The sequence below is a fragment of the Homo sapiens genome, chromosome 8, assembly GCF_000001405.40.
Source record: "Homo sapiens chromosome 8, GRCh38.p14 Primary Assembly".
Classification (NCBI taxonomy): domain Eukaryota; kingdom Metazoa; phylum Chordata; class Mammalia; order Primates; family Hominidae; genus Homo; species Homo sapiens.
The window spans coordinates 143,474,247-143,492,193 of NC_000008.11; the positions used below are offsets into that span (position 1 = coordinate 143,474,247).

General features: G+C 60.2%; 1 protein-coding gene across 3 annotated transcripts in view, besides 3 other annotated features; it reads right to left on the reverse strand.

Moving 5' to 3' along the window:
* The window catches only part of ZC3H3 (zinc finger CCCH-type containing 3), a 103,789-nt gene that overhangs the window by 36,588 nt on the left and 49,254 nt on the right, over positions 1–17,947 (reverse strand). For 2 of the 3 annotated variants that reach the window (NM_015117.3, XM_011516943.3), the window contains exon 5: positions 1,152–1,339. In NM_015117.3, coding sequence (NP_055932.2) covers positions 1,152–1,339 — 188 coding nt within the window. Of the gene's footprint in view, positions 1–1,151; positions 1,340–1,362; positions 10,702–17,947 lie in introns of those variants that run through there. The other variant, XM_011516944.3, reaches the window with a different exon arrangement.
* Positions 4,837–5,337: an enhancer, noted in NCBI's record as "H3K4me1 hESC enhancer chr8:144561253-144561753 (GRCh37/hg19 assembly coordinates)". NCBI's record gives its function as "activates a minimal SCP1, AML or CMV promoter by ChIP-STARR-seq in primed H9 embryonic stem cells {active_cell/tissue: H9 hESC(primed)}" and the evidence as "EXISTENCE:reporter gene assay evidence [ECO:0000049][PMID:30033119]".
* Positions 13,534–14,071: an enhancer, noted in NCBI's record as "H3K27ac-H3K4me1 hESC enhancer chr8:144569950-144570487 (GRCh37/hg19 assembly coordinates)". NCBI's record gives its function as "activates a minimal SCP1, AML or CMV promoter by ChIP-STARR-seq in primed H9 embryonic stem cells {active_cell/tissue: H9 hESC(primed)}" and the evidence as "EXISTENCE:reporter gene assay evidence [ECO:0000049][PMID:30033119]".
* Positions 14,072–14,608: an enhancer, noted in NCBI's record as "H3K27ac-H3K4me1 hESC enhancer chr8:144570488-144571024 (GRCh37/hg19 assembly coordinates)". NCBI's record gives its function as "activates a minimal SCP1, AML or CMV promoter by ChIP-STARR-seq in primed H9 embryonic stem cells {active_cell/tissue: H9 hESC(primed)}" and the evidence as "EXISTENCE:reporter gene assay evidence [ECO:0000049][PMID:30033119]".

The following is a 17,947-nucleotide window of genomic DNA, read 5'->3' on the forward strand; positions in this document are numbered from 1 at the left end:
TCAGTGAGTGGGAGGCACACACAGGGGTGACACAGTGCCGAGGAAGGGACCCAGGGCTTCTCACCAGATCCTCAGCGAGTGGGGATTTATTCCTGCCCAGTTCACCAGGACCCCCCAGCCCCAGCCACCAGGCTACAGGCATGGTCATGGGCACTGACCAGCCACAGTGTGGCTCAGAGCCCTGTGGGGCAGGTGCCAGGGCCCCCGTGCTGCTCCCAGCGACTCTGCCCAGGAAACAGCCCAGAAGCCCCTGGAGCCCAGAGATGGATGCTAGGAACACAGCCAGGCAGGGCGGCCAGTGAGGCTGGCTTCCAGGGAGGTACGCTTCCTGCCTCTCCTCTGACCCCCGCAGACCCTGCCGTCGGAGTCTACCTCCTCCAGGGGCTGAACCTGTTCTCTCTCTAGGTCCCAGGCGGGTCGGGGAGCCAGCATGGCCCAGCCTCTGCAATCCCAACACCACCTGCAATCTCCCTCTTTTTTTTTGATGGACAAGAAAGGGGGTAAAATTGGACTGAAACCAAAATATTTTTCTAGTTAATTTGTAGGATAAGTGAATCCAAAGCATTTCCTTCTCCTGAGCCTGTTTCCCTGGGCTGGGAGGGCGCAAGGTGGCGGCGCCGGCTGCCTCCAGACACAGTTGTCGAGGCGTCGCCAATGCGATTACGGGCGCCGCGGCCCCAGGTGTGCGCTCGCCCGGGCGTGTTTGCCGTACCTGGCATCATCCTTTTTCCAAAAGCGAAACATGGTGCTTGTGAGCAACTCTCCCCCACCCCACAGAAAATCAGGGGCCGCTCAGCCACGCGAGGTGGGCGCCACTCCAGGGCCCTTCCTGGGGGATGGCAGAGGAAGGCCTCCTGGCACCCTCCATTCTCCGGCTGCCCTGTTGGTCTCACTAGGGATGGCTACGAAGGCGCCGGGTGTATGGAAGAGTGAAATTAACTCCCAGGATGGGACGTGACCCATTTGGGAAGTGCTTGTTTGGACTGGCTCCCTGGGAGCATGAGGCCCCTGACCTCCTCCCCAAGACAGGGGCGTGAGCCAAGGCCCAGAGCAGCCACAGCATGTTGGAGGTTAGGGGGTCTGGCCTGCAATGCCCACCACACGCTAGCCGGTCGGTGTCATCTCCCAGCGCCCCCGCCCTCACCTCTCACCTGTGCGCAGGAGGGGCCTGCTGCCCGCATCACTGGGCTGGCCGGAGGTCTTGGAGAGCTTGTTGGCAGATACTTTGTAGAGGACCCCTCCGATGCAGCGGTAGCCTTTGCTCCGCCACCAAGGGGAGCCCGGTTGGGCTTTCCCACCCCCGCTGGCAACTGGACGCAGGCGGTTCAGCACCAGGGACCTGCAGAGACAGGAAATGCCCGTCAAACCTGGCCCCAGGACAGACTACAGCTCTGATGGTCAGTGCCAGGGGCCGAGCCCAGGCCTGGCCTCCCAAGGGGGACAGGGAGCAGCACTTGCGGTGGGTACACACTCCAGCTGGGTGACCACGGGCCATTGGCCCAGCTGCCAAGAGACCTCTGTCCCCCTCTGGCCCCCAACCCCCACCTCAGGGACATTTTGGCCGTCATCAGGGAACACTGACAAGGAGTCCCAGGAGGTGGCGCCCCCGACCCCACCCACGAGGCTGGGAACTCATGCGCCCCTAGAAGCCACGGTGAGAGGGCAGCGTCGTCCTCCAGTGCACACCTCCCCGTGGATATAACCACCCCTGGGCCCTGACCACCTGGCTGTGTGCTGCAGGGTAAGGGTCCCTGGGGCTGCAGGGCAGAGGGGCTGCAAGGTGTCTGCGTGTTGGTGAGAAGCACACCTGGCCCTTGGCACCTGGGCTGAGGCTCCCTTGAGTCGGCTTCAAGGCTGGGGCTATTTCTACCAACCGGCCCCAGCACATACCACCCTGGCCGTCAGGACCACAGACACCATAGGGTCAGCAGGCTACCCTGCCTCTTCTCCTCCTCCACCCTGTCCTGCCTCCCCTTCATCCACAGCTCAGAGAGCCCTGCACTGAGAGGGCATGGGGACAGCCTCACAGACCCCGGGCCAGGCTGTTTGAGGGAAATGCTGATGTTGCCTCAAGTCCAAGGGCTGAAGAGGCCGCGACAGCCCCTGGAGTTAGCTGAGCTGATGACCCTGGCTAGAGGAAGAGACCTAGGCCGACAGACCCTGAGCCCTGGCAGCCCCCACTCCTGCCAAATACTCCACAGCCTCCAGGAAGCCAAGGGGCAGAGTAAGACAAGAGGGGCCTGAGCTGCACTCCAGAGGCACCTCCCTGCAGCTGCCAGCCACACCCACAGCCCTGCGGACCCTCGGGCAAGCAGCCCCCAAGGTGGGGGGCTCAGGGCCTGGCAAATTGAGCTTGATTCCACATGAGCTCACGCTCTGCTCAAGCTGCCATGACCCCTGAGGTGGATACCACACCCCCAGCAAATCTGGGCAAGACATTTTTGGGCAGCCATGGGTGCGCAGGCAGCAAAGGGACCAGTCAAGTGGGAGGCGAGGACGGGCAGCTCAGGCCTGGCACAGGGCTGTGCCCCTGCTCTACGCTCCCCATCCCACACTGGTCCCCATGGCCCTGCAGCTACACAGCCCTCTCTGCTGTGGAGTACCTGAGCCCCCCAACCCATCCACAGCCGCAGGAGACCCTTTTCCAGCTGGTCTGGGCCAGGGTGGGGTGCCCCCTAGACCCAGGCCCGCAGCATGCATGAAGGTGGGGCTCGCTTGTCTGGCTGGATGGGGCAGGTACAGGGGGACAGCAGCATATCCATCAAAGCCACCCACGAGGAGCCAACAGACCTGGTGGTACTGGGGATGGAGCAGCCCTTCTGTCGGGTTCCACCGCCATCCCCACCACTCAGCCCTGCAACCCCTCCGGGCCTTGGTCCCTCTGCCTGCAAGCTGGGGTAATTCTCAGCAGCCGGGGGCCTCCAAGGGCCCATTAGAGAGAGAATGGGAGCAGAGAGAGCCCGGTGCCGGGGATGGGAGCTGCAGTGTAAGTACAAGCACGGCGGCTGGAGCACTTAACCCAGTTTCCTTTAATTAAAATTCAAGTTCACAAACACCAATCTTGGCGGGAAAGAGCCCACCAAGGGGCCTGGCAGTGCTGAGTGGTCTGCTGGCCCCCACCTCCCACCTATCCTGTCTGCGCCCTGCACACTCCAGCTGCTCCCCAACCCCCAGCCGGGCACTGTCTGGGCCAGAGGGGTGGAGGGTAGGCATCCTGCCAGCCAGACTCAGACCTCCAGGCTCTCATCAGACCCTGGGGTCCCAGTGCAGCCCCGGCCTCCAGGTGCCTGCAGGCCCAGCAGGTGCATGGCCTGTACCTTCAGCTTATCCTGGCACCAGGCCTGGAGGGAGGCAGGCCAGGCAGGACCTCCTGCACCAGCCTCTCAGTTGGAGAACCCCATCAGCCTGGGGGGCTCAGAGGCAGGTTCTGACCTTCCACAGGAGCTACGGCCACTACCTGGGGGACACTCAGCTTGACCCCAAATCCCAGTCAGGCTGAGCCCAGGGCCCTGCACCAGCCCCACAGTACTCACAGGCCTCAGGGGTCTCACCATTGGGAGGGTGAGGGGGCTGGTGGCCAGGGTGCACCCCCCCACCGCAGCACCAGCCACTCACAGAGCCTCTGGCCATCATACAACTGGGGCCAAAGCTAACTGTGGTCCTCGCCCCGGAAAGGCTGCTCAGGGCCAGCCTGGACTTGCTCCCGGGAGCCCCCAGCTCCCTGCCTCCCCACAGGCTCCAGTGAGTAGATGGTAAGTCTGCACTCTCGGGGGAAGCACCCAATCCTGCATGCCTGACCCCGCCCACGGCACAGGCTGGGTTCAACCCTGGCCGCCACAAAGCAGGAAGGACGAGCAGGCAACAGAGCCAACCCAGCTCTCCACCTGGGTCCAGCCAGGACTCCCTGAGGAGATGGTTGGGAGGGAGGCCCAGAACCCAGGTGTGCAAGGACTCACCTGCAGGAGTGTCCCCCTGACTGAGGCTCACATGGGGACAGGCCACCACCCACTCACTGTGTGGCTCTCCAAAGGCACCCGGATGGAGGGCGAGGCCCGGGCTGCAGCACTTGCTCCCCTCCCCCAGGGGCAGCCACAGCTGGCCAGGCCCAGGGAAGGGCCCGTGGGGCAGAGGCATCAGGGCCTCTGGGGGTCAGCAGGCACTGGAAGCTTCCAGGACCGCCCCACCCACCAGGGCCGCCCCTCAGCTCTGTTTCAGGACCTCGGCCTGGCTGGGCACTACAGCAGCCATGCCCCCGCTCCTTCTTATTTTTTTGTTTTTTTGAGATGGAGTTTTGCTCTTGTGACCCAGGCTAGAGTGCAATGGTGCGATCTCGGCTCACTGCAACCTCCGCCTCCCGGGTTCAAGAGGTTCTCCTGCCTCAGCCTCCAGAGTAGCTGGGATTACAGGCATGTGCCAACACGCCCGGCTAATTTTTGTATTTTTGGTAGAGATGGTGTTTCACCCCATTGGCCAAGCTGGTCTCGAACTCCTGACCTCAGGTGATCTGACGGCCTTGGCCTCCCAAAGTGCCGGGATTACAGGCATGAGCCACTGCGCCCAGCCGCCCCTGCTCATTCTCATGGATGAACATGAACAATTAGCTTGTCCCCTTCTCTTCCCTCCTAAAAAAAACACCTTACTGGAGTGTGAGAACACCCAGAGGACATTAGAGGATCTGGGCGGAATGGAGATGTGGCAGCCCCTGCTGAGCCGTCCCGGGATCTGCGCCCGCTCTTCATGCTTGGGAATGTTCCCAGCCCCCCACTGCCCACCATAGCCTGGGAGCCCAGGGCCTCCCGGGAATGGGGCAGGGCGCTTCCTGGTGCTCAGCACACCTAGCCCAAGAGCCTCATTCCGAGAAGCTGCATCCTGGGAAGATGCTGTGGCAGAACGTCGGGCCTGTGCAGGTTGGCGGGGGTGACGGAGAGCTGTCTAGGGTTGCCCTCACCCCTGCCCTCGCCCTGGCTGCCTGGCTGGCTTTGGAACCTACAGCAGGAGGGTGCTGGGAGGGCATGGGGCGAGGGCCTTGTAGCTTTTCACGGCCGTGGGTGTCACAGCACTCCAGTAAATTGTGACCCTAATGGAGAGGATGGCCTTTGGAAACGAACTGCATTGAGAAGGGGGATGAAATTAATGAGATAATAGCAGGGCCAAGGACCCGGAGCGCGCGTCTGCCCTCACGGAAGGCTCTGTAATTCCTTTTCCGCAACGGGAGCTGCAGATCTAAAGGCCTCTCCCATCCGTCCGGCAGGCCCACGCTGCCAGGAAATTTCATTAACGCTGGAAAATAGGAAAGGTATTAAGCGTGGATAATGAAGGCCAGGGAGGGAACAGTGCCTTAAGATAGTCTTCTTTCTCGCCTTTGTAATGGGAGGCATGAACTTTCCCTTCAAATCCATTTCTAATCCATTTGAAATACTACAGCAAATTATCTTTCCTTCAGCCCAAAAGCAGCCAGCCAATTTACTCCGAACAGAAGTGACAATGCCCCAGGATTTATCACCATAACCTTGACTACACCAGGGCGAGGCTGGGCCTCCCCTCTCCTCCCTGGGGGGGGACAAAGGCCAGGAGGGGGAGATAACATTTTAAATGAAAAGCAGCAGTAATGGGGAGAAAGACACACACACTACAAAAGCAGGTGTATGAAGAAGCTGTCTGTGCAGTACTGCCTTAGGAGTAGCTGGAAACTTGCAGGCCAGAGGCTGCCCGGGCTGGCGAGGGGCACCACAGGTGCCCAGAGGGCTGAGCCCAGGCCCTCCTGTCTCTGAAAGCCCCTGTCCTGCCTCAGCCTGGGCCCCTCGGACCTGCTGAGTGCTGCCAGCCTCGCTAGGCACAGGTAGCAACAGTGGGGGCCGGGCGGACCTCTGGCTCTCGACCCTCAGGGACTCCTGTCACCTGTCCCCAGGACTTCAGTGGTGCTGGGGGCCTGGGCAAGATGGGAGAGAGGCTCACTCTGAGGTCTTGGTTTTCCTGAAAGCCCAGGGGCAAACCTGGTGCATCCCCTGCCGGCATCCACAAGGCATGCCCACGCACAGCCTGCCAGCTGCCAGGCTCCCGGGCCTGCAAGCCCTGGCCTGGGCCACTGCTGCCAAGTGGCCCATGCAAGGACTCTGAGGACCAACCCTGGACACCCACACTCTACCCACTCCGAGGGCACTGCCCGTGGCAGGTCAGAGCAGCCCCCGCGCCATGTCATGTGGGCCGTGCAGGCTGAGAGGGGCCTCACCCCAGGCCACGTCATTGATCCTGGGCACAGATGCACACATACACGTGGCCCAGATCAGTGGCCTCGCAGTCAGGGCAGTGCATGCACAGCAAGCAGGCCCAGTGCACTGCCTGCCCCCAGGGTGACAGCCTCAGCACTTGCGCTCCCAGCAGCAGAAGCCCCAGCTCAGCAGAAACACATCTGACAAACCAATGCGGCTCCTCGGGTGAGTCCAGCCCTCTGAGCACCCGGGCCCTTTCAGGTCCTGCTCCCTGCCATGGGCACTGCCTGCGGTGTCTCCGTGCCATGCGACCCAGCTCTGAGACCAATCAGAGAATGCTGGGCCTGGTAGTCAGCGTGACTGGCACACTGGCATGGCAGGAAGGCTGGGGAAGGGGCCCGGTCTCTTGACTCAGGCAGAGGTGGTAAGGGGACTGGGGGAGGCCTCCTCCACCCTAGAGACCCGGGAAGCAGCCCAGCACCCAGGATGCCCCGGCGGGACACACACTGGTGGGACCCGAGGGTCCAGGCCACAGACAGGCAGCTTTTAAGCCCAAAAGCTGTATCTTCCGATTGCCCAGTCCCACAGCACCTTCAGACACATGCTGCCCAGGACACCCTCCCTGAGGCTCTGTGGCTTGTTCAACAGGGTCTTCCAAGGCCTTGGGTCATGTGGCCAGGGGTTCGAGGCCTAGGCCAGATTGCAGGCAGCCCTGGGAAGGCTGGGCCTCTCCGGAGCACCTCCCAACCCAGCTCCCAGGCCCAGTGGTGCGACCAGCGGCTACACAAAGGCCAACACAGACCACAGTGGGGCCAGAGACCCTCATCTGGAGGAGAGCTGCTGATGGGAACCAGGGGCTCCTTCCCCATAGCAGCCCCTCAGCATCCTTCCCTCCCCGCCACCGAAGTTCCCATGCCAGCCTCGGTGACATCCCACCCCACGTGAGCCCCTGAGAACTCCGTGAGGTTGTGTCTGTGCTTGAGGAGAACACCTGGGAACAGAGAGGTCGCTGTGTGACCAGGGGCGGGAGAGGCGAGGCCAGCAGAGGGGAGAGCTGCTCCCAGACCCTCCAGACCCGCCAGGGGCTCCACAGCAGGGAGGGCTGGGATTTGAAGATTTCTTCCTGCCAAGCGCCGCCACACGGTGGAGCCGGCGAGGGGACATCAGACCCTGGGAGGGAAACTGAAGGCAGACAGGGACGATGGGGACCTTCCAGGACCCTCGTGTTGTCGCTCTGCACCTCCGGCTGCTGCCAATCCAGCTCCAGTCTTGTCTTTTAAACACACTCCAGCACTAGCTGGCCCTCCTGCTCCCACAGCCAGGCCCCGCAGCCAGTGTCGGTCAGCAGTTCTCCCCATGAGGGGCCTCATCAGCCTCCACTCGGACCCCCTGCCCAGGGCCCTCAGCCTCACCACTGGCAGAAGCCCTGCCCCGAGGCAATGCCCAGGCCCTGAACATGCCACGCAGAGCCCCAGGCCGGCACTGAGCCAGCTGGGTCTCCGCCCTGGTTCACAGCTGAAAGGGGGCTGCACCCACCCCACCCTGCCAGTTGGTTTGAAAGCTGCACATTTGATCAAGTCCCTGCCAAGACCCTGCAGTGGGTCCCCTCGTTCTCAAGATGACCAGGTTAGAAAGCCCTGCAGGGCCAGGCACTCAGGTCCTGCTGGCCACAGCCCCCATGCAGCCTCTCTCCAGCCTAGAACTCCAGTTCTCCTGGGAAGTTCTGGTTTCTGGAAAGCACTGTGCTCCCTCCTGGCGCCAGGTCTTTGCACGTGCTGTCCCTCTGTCCAGATCCCAGGGCAGGCCTGAGGCCAAGTGCAGATGTCACAGCACTGGGGAGGCCGGCCCTACTTACCACTGGGGAAAATGAGCACAGGGGCCGTATCTGCAAAGACCACTGCTGCACCCCTGGCCCTGCGGATGTGCCGGGCACGCAGGGGGCTCTGTAAATGTGTGTTGCGAGAACACACCCAAGTGTGTGCCACCCTGGGGCTCCCAGGACCTTAAGAGGTCCTAAGGGAGGAGTGTGGGGTGGGGAAGGGTCAGGAGGCCCTGGTCAGTTACAGACACTCAGGAAGGAGACCTGTGGCAGAGAGGTGGCTGCCAGGGCTTGGTCAGCAGATACAAGGAGTGGGCTCAGGCAGCAAGGGCCAGGCGCTGGGAATGCGGGCTGGGGCAAGATGGGCTCTCTGAGAACAAAGGGAGCAGCGGGGCTCAAGGAGGGAGGCATGGTCAGAACACATGCCCTGAGAGCTCCGAGAAGGGCGAGCCTGTCCCTGTCTCCCCAGGACGATGGCAAGGCTGCTACGGACGTGACACAGGGACGTGCAATATGCAGACGTGGAAAGACCCTCGGGGGCATAAGTATGGTGACAGCAGGAGAGGCCAAGGGCTGAGCGAGGTCTTGGCCCGGCCCTAGCAGCCAGAAGAGGCAGGACCACAGGAGCAGGTACCGGGCCACGGGGACACGACCTCAGGGCCTTCTAGGCCGGGGTTGTGTCTGTGTGTGGGCCGGGGACCCAGCAGCCCCTGGCCAGGCCGCCCAGGCCAGTGGCAACGTGCAGTAAACAGGCAGTCCAGCTGAGACACAGAGAAAACAACCGGAGAAGCATTTTCAGGAAATGGAGCACAATTTTTCGAAGCTTGGAGCCCGAGCGGGGAGTGCGAAGTCAGCAGAAGAGGAGCGGCCGGGGGGAGGCGGCGCCGCAGCGAATCCCCAAGTAGGTCAGGCAGAGCTGCGCCATGACAGGCACTAAACTGCTTAAGTGGGGCTTTCCACTGGAAACGCTGACACCCCCATCACCGTGCTGGCTCGGGAGGGCGAGCATGCATGTGTGTCCATGCGTGTGCGCGTGTGGGGCTGGCTGGAAGCCTCCCTCCCGGTTTCTCCTGGTGCTGAGCCACTGCGGCCCCCGAATGGGTTGGCCAGGCTACATGGGGCCCTTGGCTGGAGAGGCCCAGCCCGTGAGGCTGGGGCAATGCAGGGGAGGTGGTTCTACTGGACAGACACTCACAGAATGTCCTGAGTTCCGGAGGAGGAAGACAGAGTCCCTCATGGGAGGGGCCCAAGCTGGGCCGGCAGGGAGGGGCGCTCAGGCCAGACAGAGCAGAGGCGTGCAGTGGGGGTGCTAGGCGGGCTCCCGGCTCCTGGACCCTGCCCCCACGATCTCAGGGGCAGGGCTAAATGCTCAAGGGCCTGTGGCTGCCAGGGCTGAAATCTGACTACGTGGTGGCCACGCAGGCCTCACGATGGCTATGGCCACCTCATCTCACAGAAAGAACCCTCTTCTAACTTACTCCTCACAAGTCTGGCCCCCTATCCTCCAAACCCCTATACCCAGACCGTGGGGCCCTCACCAGCTCCAAGGGGCCTCCAGGTACCTGGGGCAGTAGCTGCTGTTCAGCAGGGGCTCCGGCACCATGGCCAGATGGGCTCTCTAGTCCCGCTGTCACCCCCACAGCATCTACCTCCCAGTATGGGGGCCTGCAGAGACCGTCCAGCCGCTTGGCTTTCCAGGATACACCTTCAGCAGGCAGGCAGGGTTACAGGCCTGGGTGGGAGCTGAGAGCCCTGCACCAGCGGCCAGGGGCGCCATGAGGGGAAAGAGCCATGCAGCCTTAGGGACAGCAGCCTTGTTTGGGGGCCCCTGAGGACAGGGACAGCCTTGAGTGCGACTGGTCCAGCTGAGGCTGAGCACGGCTGGCTCCCCCGGCCCCTGGGCTGACTCGTGGGGTGGAGGCTCTGTTGTGACATCTGAGGACTTCCTCACTGGGCACTGGTCCTTCCGAGGGCCATCCCTGCCCCGTCTCACCCCAGTAATGAATAAGAAGGATTCGGAGGCGCCTCTGCAGCCTGGCTGGGTGGCAGGGGGCAATACTAATGACACTGCCTCCGTTACAAACGTCGTGCTCCATTATGAGGGGCTGGGACTATTTTATGTATTTTATGTGCTCACATCTATTCAATTGGTATTTCGATCAATGGATGCATTACAAGCTTTCCCTTTAAGAGCCTAATAAACAACAAGATGGAAAGTAAAATTCTCCATAAAATGACACTTTTAAAAATCCATTTCAGCTGAAGCTATTGGTGTTTTGTATGTCAGCTGCAAAAAAACAAGTATTAGTGGGACTTCATGGCCCCGGAGTGCCGAGTTCAGCTCGTCCGGCAGAGGTGCCAGGCGGCCAGGTGCAGCTGTCCTTGGCGGGCCCGCGACCCTCTGCACCTGTGCCACCCTTTGGGCTGGGTCATCGGCCCAGGACCCACTCTGTCTGTGCCAGCTACTGAGGGGCAGGCTGGCCAGGAATCCTGCCTAGGCCCTCAAGGACCCCTCAGGTCACTGCTGTCTAAAGAGACTCACAGCAGACATCCCCCCACTCCCAGGCCCTGGGACAGCCCCTCCGAAGACCACACAGCAAATCCGGCTCAGCTCCCTGGAAAGGCGTGGTGACCTCAGCAAACTTCATGCGGCCCTTGCAAGGACAGTGGTATCTGCAAAAACCACGGGAAAACCACAATAAAAACCCACTCACTTCAGAGGGGTAACCAGAACTGATTATGAAGCAAAGATGTGTGAAAACCAAAGCCCTGCAAGACAGTGGCAAACACCAGTTGGAACATACAAAGAAGAGAAGCCAGAAACACTCTCAAATAACTGAGGAAAAATTCTACAGCAGGGGCGCCGGGCCAACATGTGGAAGTTATGGAGCATGAGTCCCCCTGGTGCTGAGAACAGGAGGGAGGCAGGCGGGGCCAGGGATCTGAAGTGTTTGTTGTGTGTGTGGCTGAAATCCTAAGAAGAAGAAAATGCAAATCTATGATTTGGAGGCTGGTTCCTTGGTGAGGCCGAGAACCCGGTCCAGTGTTTCTAAGGTGGTCTGGAAGAGTAAGCATTCAGGAATAACGAAGGGCACAGACAAGTGGGTCAACAGTGAGGATGGAGAGTCTGGGAACAGCCCATACATCTGCTCACCCGAGTGACGCAGGCGCCCCTGCACCTGAGTGGGTCAGGATCTCATTTCAATACATGTGTCTCCATGGGGAGACAAAAGGACTCTGGCCCCTACCTCAGACCACAGGTAAAAATTAATTCAAGAAGCCTCAGGCTTAAAATATAAAAGCTAAAATAGCCAAGCTTCTAGAAGAAAACATGAATGTGGGATAGACAAATATTTCTTAAACAGGACACAAAGAGCACTACTCATAAAAGGCTAAAAAACCAGATGCCGTGGAAGAGCAGGTCCCTCGCTGTAAGCAGACGTGTGGGGCGGAAAACATCCACAACAAAAACAAACTCCCACAAATCAGCCAAAAGGCAAATCACACAAAAACAGGCCAACACCCAAAGAGGCCCTTTACAGTAAAGAAGGGCACCACCAGGAGACCTGAGTGAAGAAAAAGATGCCCAGCAATGCCAGCCAGCGGGATGGGCGTGAGGCCCCACACCCCCCAGCATGGCAAGAACAGGAGACACGGGCCTGAGAATCCTGGCCAAGGCCACGGGCCAGCCACAATGCTCACATGCTGCTGCTGGCAGGCTGGGACAGCTACCTGGGACAGCTTCCAAAGCTCAGTGTCCATCACCCTCTGAGGCAGCAACTCCACACAAACGAGGGCTACCAGCACCCAGAGACACACCCAAGACAGCAGCTTCATAACTGGCAAGGATGGGAGAGACTCCAGATACCCACCCATCAACTGCAAGATGGACACACATGGCGTATCCATATCACAGAACACCACACGGCAGGGAAAAAGAATGAGTTCCCGCCAGGCGCGGCAATGTAGCGGAGTGAGAAACGTGGGCGCCTACGGCTGCCTGGCTGCTGCCATGGAATGCTCTGCAGTGGGCGGCTACGACAACAGAAACACACTTTCTCACAAGGCTGGGGCCGCACCGAGGCTCTGGCAAGGCTGGTTTCTGGTGAGGTCTCCCTTCCTGGCTTGTACTGTCCTCCCGTGGCTTTTCCTCTGGGCATGTGCCCCTGGTGGCACTTTTTATTCTTGTAAGGACATTAGTCCTAGTGGATCAGGGCCAAACACGTATAATCCCATTTAACCTCAATTACCTGTTTGAAGACCCCATCCCCAAACGTAGTCACATTGGGGGTTAGGGTTTCCATCTATGAACTTGGTGGGGGACACAATTCAGTCCATGAAAAGTGATGAACAAAAGAAGTCAGACACAGAATGGCACCCGCTACATGACCCCACCACCAAGAAGCTCACACACAAAACAGCACCTGCTCCACAACCCCACCACCACGAAGCTCACACACAAAACAGCACCCGCTACACGACCCCATCACCACGAAGCTCACACACAGAACAGCACCCGCTACACGACCCCATCACCACGAAGCTCAGACACAGAACAGCACCCGCTACACGGCCCCACCACCACGAAGCTCAGACACAGAACAGCACCCGCTACACGGCCCCACCACCACGAAGCTCAGACACAGAACAGCACCCGCTACACGGCCCCACCACCACGAAGCTCAGACACAGAACAGCACCCGCTACACGGCCCCATCACCACGAAGCTCACACACAGAACAGCACCCGCTACACGACCCCACCACCACGAAGCTCAGACACAGAACAGCACCCGCTACACGGCCCCACCACCACGAAGCTCAGACACAGAACAGCACCCGCTACACGGCCCCACCACCACGAAGCTCAGACACAGAACAGCACCCGCTACACGGCCCCACCACCACGAAGCTCACACACAGAACAGCACCCGCTACACGGCCCCACCACCACGAAGCTCACACACAGAACAGCACCCGCTACACGGCCCCACCACCACGAAGCTCAGACACACAACAGCACCCGCTACACGGCCCCATCACCACGAAGCTCACACACAGAACAGCACCCGCTACACGGCCCCATCACCACGAAGCTCACACACAGAACAGCACCCGCTACACGGCCCCACCACCACGAAGCTCACACACAGAACAGCACCCGCTACACGGCCCCACCACCACGAAGCTCAGACACAGAACAGCACCCGCTACACGGCCCCATCACCACGAAGCTCACACACAGAACAGCACCCGCTACACGGCCCCATCACCACGAAGCTCACACACAGAACAGCACCCGCTACACGGCCCCACCACCACGAAGCTCAGACACAGAACAGCACCCGCTACACGACCCCACCACCACGAAGCTCACACACAGAACAGCACCCGCTACACGACCCCATCACCACGAAGCTCACACACAGAACAGCACCCGCTACACTGCCCCATCACCACGAAGCTCAGACACAGAACAGCACCCGCTACACGGCCCCATCACCACGAAGCTCAGACACAGAACAGCACCCGCTACACGGCCCCATCACCACGAAGCTCAGACACAGAACAGCACCCGCTCCACGGCCCCATCACCACGAAGCTCACACACAGAACAGCACCCGCTCCACGACCCCATCACCACGAAGCTCACACACAGAACAGCACCCGCTACACAGCCCCATCACCACGAAGCTCAGACACAGAACAGCACCCGCTACACGGCCCCATCACCACGAAGCTCAGACACAGAACAGCACCCGCTACACGGCCCCATCACCACGAAGCTCACACACAGAACAGCACCCGCTACACGGCCCCATCACCACGAAGCTCACACACAGAACAGCACCCGCTCCACGACCCCATCACCACGAAGCTCACACACAGAACAGCACCCGCTCCACGACCCCATCACCACGAAGCTCACACACAGAACAGCACCCGCTACACAGCCCCATCACCACGAAGCTCAGACACAGAACAGCACCCGCTACACGGCCCCATCACCACGAAGCTCAGACACAGAACAGCACCCGCTACACGGCCCCATCACCACGAAGCTCACACACAGAACAGCACCCGCTACACGGCCCCATCACCACGAAGCTCACACACAGAACAGCACCCGCTACACGGCCCCATCACCACGAAGCTCACACACAGAACAGCACCCGCTCCACGACCCCATCACCACGAAGCTCAGACACAGAACAGCACCCGCTACACGGCCCCATCACCACGAAGCTCAGACACAGAACAGCACCCGCTACACGGCCCCATCACCACGAAGTTCAGGAACAGGCAAAGCCAATCAAGGTAGGCAGAGAGCAGAAAAGCAGGTGCTCATGGGGTAGACATGAGTGGGAAGAGCCAGAGGGAAGCTTCCAGAACTCATGCCATCTTAGGTAGGAAAGGCTGTTCTCAGCACATCAATACATGAAATCTCAAGAGACTGGCAGATTTAAGTGCACAGAAAAGTAAAAACTTCTGCAAACATCCTCACGAAATTCAAAGCGAGGAAAATGACAAAAAGGCGACTCCCCCTGAACACTTGGAGTTCCATGAATCCATAAGAAACAAGCCAGCTGGAGACAAGCGAATAGGGAACACAAACCATGTTGAACTTGACCAAGAATTAAAGTTAAGCCTGGATGGCACCCTCCTCAGATCCGCTGTCCATGTTTCTGCCCGTGGCTGCTGACGCTGACGAGGCCCGGAAGGGCCAGCAGTCATGCCCCCTCTGTCCCCCAAGCCAGTGGCAGCGCTGACCCCCAGGACTGTTCATCCAGATGAAGGCGCTTCTCTGGGAAGGGCCTAAGACCAGCAATGAGAGGAGTGAGGTGGGGCCTGGGTGGGGATCAGCTTGTGTCTACCTGGCCAAATGTCATTGCCTGCAGGGAGCCTTCCAGGCTGCAGACACCAGAGAAAGGTTGGAGCTGGGTCTGGTACCTATGCCCTAACTGAATCCTATCCTTGCTCTGCCACTCTCCATGACTGCTAGTACCCACTGGGCAGGGGACGCCCCAGGTGGGAAGGGCTCAGCCAGGGCCTGGTTCCAAGAAGCTGGGTAGGGTGGGGTGGGGGAGTCCTGGAGGACAAGCAGCCAATGGAAAGGAGGGAGCTGGGGCCCCTCAGCCAACCTTTGGGGGGATGCGCCCTCCCACCGCGGCTGGGCCACGGAGCCCCGCCCACCACCGCCTGGCCCCGCCCACCGCCCTGGCCAGGGGAGAGGGGCCAGGGGAGGAGCTGGCTGGAAGCAGCCTCCGCAGGCAAGGGGGCGCCTTGCCCCTGTCCCGCCCCAGGACCGCCCCAGGCAAGCCAGAGCACTGAGGGTACTGAGCTGGGCCATAATTTATGCCCGCCCGCCTATGCTTTATGGCTTTCTTAATTCGGCTCCTGCTACTATTAATGTAGTTAATGCTGAGATTATATCTATTTTCTGGCGTCAGGCGGTGATTTATTCAAGCCATTTTTCCGGTGGAGGCTCCCACGCTGTTAAATCAAGCGCCTTGCCAATTAAGTGCTGACTTGGGAAGTGGACGCAATCTTAGCAGACGTCCAACCGCAAATTAAACCGCGCCTGACTCTGGGGAGTGGACGGGGCAGCGGGACCCTTGCTGACTTGCAGGAAAGTCAGGAAAGTGGTGGGTGCATCCTACCCACTGTGGTCCCTGGGCCGGTCCCTGGGCCTGTCCCTGAGCCACGGGTCTCTGGAACTGCAGCCCACACCCACACTCCAGGCCACAGGGTTCCAGGGAAACACCCTTAGACACCCGTGGTTCCTAAACCACGCCCAGCAAGCACCTGACACACAGGGCCCTGGCAGGTACTGGGGATGGGGCAGGGGCGGCGGGGGTGAAGGGGGCCATGAGGAAGGTGGGAGCCTCCCCAGCAGGTGGGTGGGGCTGCACAGTGCTCAGCAGCTGGGAGGCCCCCCGGGGCCTGGACCCTGCAGGAGTCTCACCCACGGTCCCATCTCTGAGGGCCCACATAGCAATACAATAGAAAGGAGGTAGGGAGGCCAGGGTTGGGGGCAGCCAGGCTAAGGACTCCCACCCCCAACAGGCCCAGCTCTCCTGAACACTCCTGTCCCCTGTGGGGGCCTCAGTCCTCTGTCAGGCACTGTCCACATGCCAACTGCAGTGACCACCCAGGCCCAGCCCAGAGACCACCCGGGCCCAGCCCAGAGAACCTGCTGTCACCCTCCTCCCCAGTGGGGCCCTGGGACAAGGTAGGCAGATGTGCCACCCTTGTCCATCTGCCAGATACTCAGCCCAGCCTTGAGAGGTTAATCATGTTTTGGGGTGAGATCTGGCTGGAGGATTGATATATTCGAGAAGTTAAATAAGATACTGATGGCCGGGTGCAGTGGCTCATGCCTGTAATCCCAGCACTTTGGGAGGCCAAGGCAGGCGGATCACTTGAGGTCAGGAGTTTGAAACCAGCCTGGCCAACATGGTGAAACCCTGTCTCTACTAAAAATACAAAAATTAGCCATGAGTGGTGGTAGGTGCCTGTAATCCCAGCTACTCCGGAGGCTGAAGTGGGAGAATTGCTTGAGCCCAAGAGGCAGAGCCTGCAGTGAGCTGAGATTGCACTCCAGCCTAGGTGACAAAGCAAGACTCCGTCTCAAAATAAATAAACAAATAAATATTGACTATGTAAATGATACTTTACGACCACCTCTAAAACCAAGGTAAAGTGGTATTTAAAACGGCGGCACCCAGGTAGCGCCGGGTGACAAGGACATTTTATTTCTTCCTGTCAGGGGTGGTTTTTCAGTTTCCAGGAATGTCCATGCTTGCCCCTCCCTCCAGGGAGCCCAGGCACCAACTGGCAGACACACACATATCCACGGCTGGGCAGATGGGGCAGGAGGGCCCAGGCACAGGGGGCTCCGCCCTCCCCGGCCTGAGGGGAATTCCACGGATCCCACAGGAACCCCCGGGGGGCCCTTGAGCTCCCTCCCCGAAGGTCCTTGTGCAAACTGAAGGAAGGCTCCCTCCAGATTTGTCACCAGACACTCCCTGCAGCCTGTCCCTGCGATGCCACTGCCGGCCCACACGGAACCACGCTGTGGCCTGCGGTTCCGCCAAGGTGGCAGCAGCATCTCACCAGGGAGCTCCTGCATCCTGTCCCAAGGGCTTGCCCATAACAGGGACAGGGACAGCCATTCACAGCCGGGCCTGGGCGAGGCTCACACCCGTATGACCCCACAGGAGCCAGCCCAAAAGGGCAAAGCAGCATCTTGAGCCCCACGGCTGGAGACGCAGTGTGCCACACCCGGCTCGGGGCACATGCCCCATCACCAGCTCCTCAGGCCAGCCCAGCCTGGAGCCATGCATTGGTCACAGTGGTACAGAGAGGACCCCCCTGTCCTGGACTCACGGGTCCCTCTGCCACCGTCGCCCAGCAGGCCATGCTCTCACAGCAGGGATGGGGTGGACTGAGCAGAGCTGCCCTCAGGGGCAGGGGAGGCAGAGGCCGTGCAGGGCTGTGGGGCCGGGTGCAGGGTGGGCCCTAGAGAAGGAGCAGAACAGGGCATGACTCCCTCAGTCCTGCAGGCACAGGACACCCTCGGCCCTGGGCCTGGCTTGGACCACTCACAGCACCTACTCCTTTTGGCCTCCCTCTTTGCTAGGAAGCCCTCAGCCACCGTGTTTCTAGCAGCCCACCCCACAGGCATGTTGCCTCCACCTGGTGCACCAGGCGCAGCACCTAAGCGTGGCTCGTATCCCTGGGGAGGAGGGCAGAGAAGGAGTGAAAGCAGAAAGAGGGCACACTACAGAGAGCCGGACACATGCGTGCCGAGAGGGAATGGAGAGGAGAAACAAGAAGGAAAAGACAGACGTTGCATGGGACCAAAGGGTGGAGGCCTAAGAGGCACAGAGATGCAGGGACCAGCAGGCCCAGGTCGG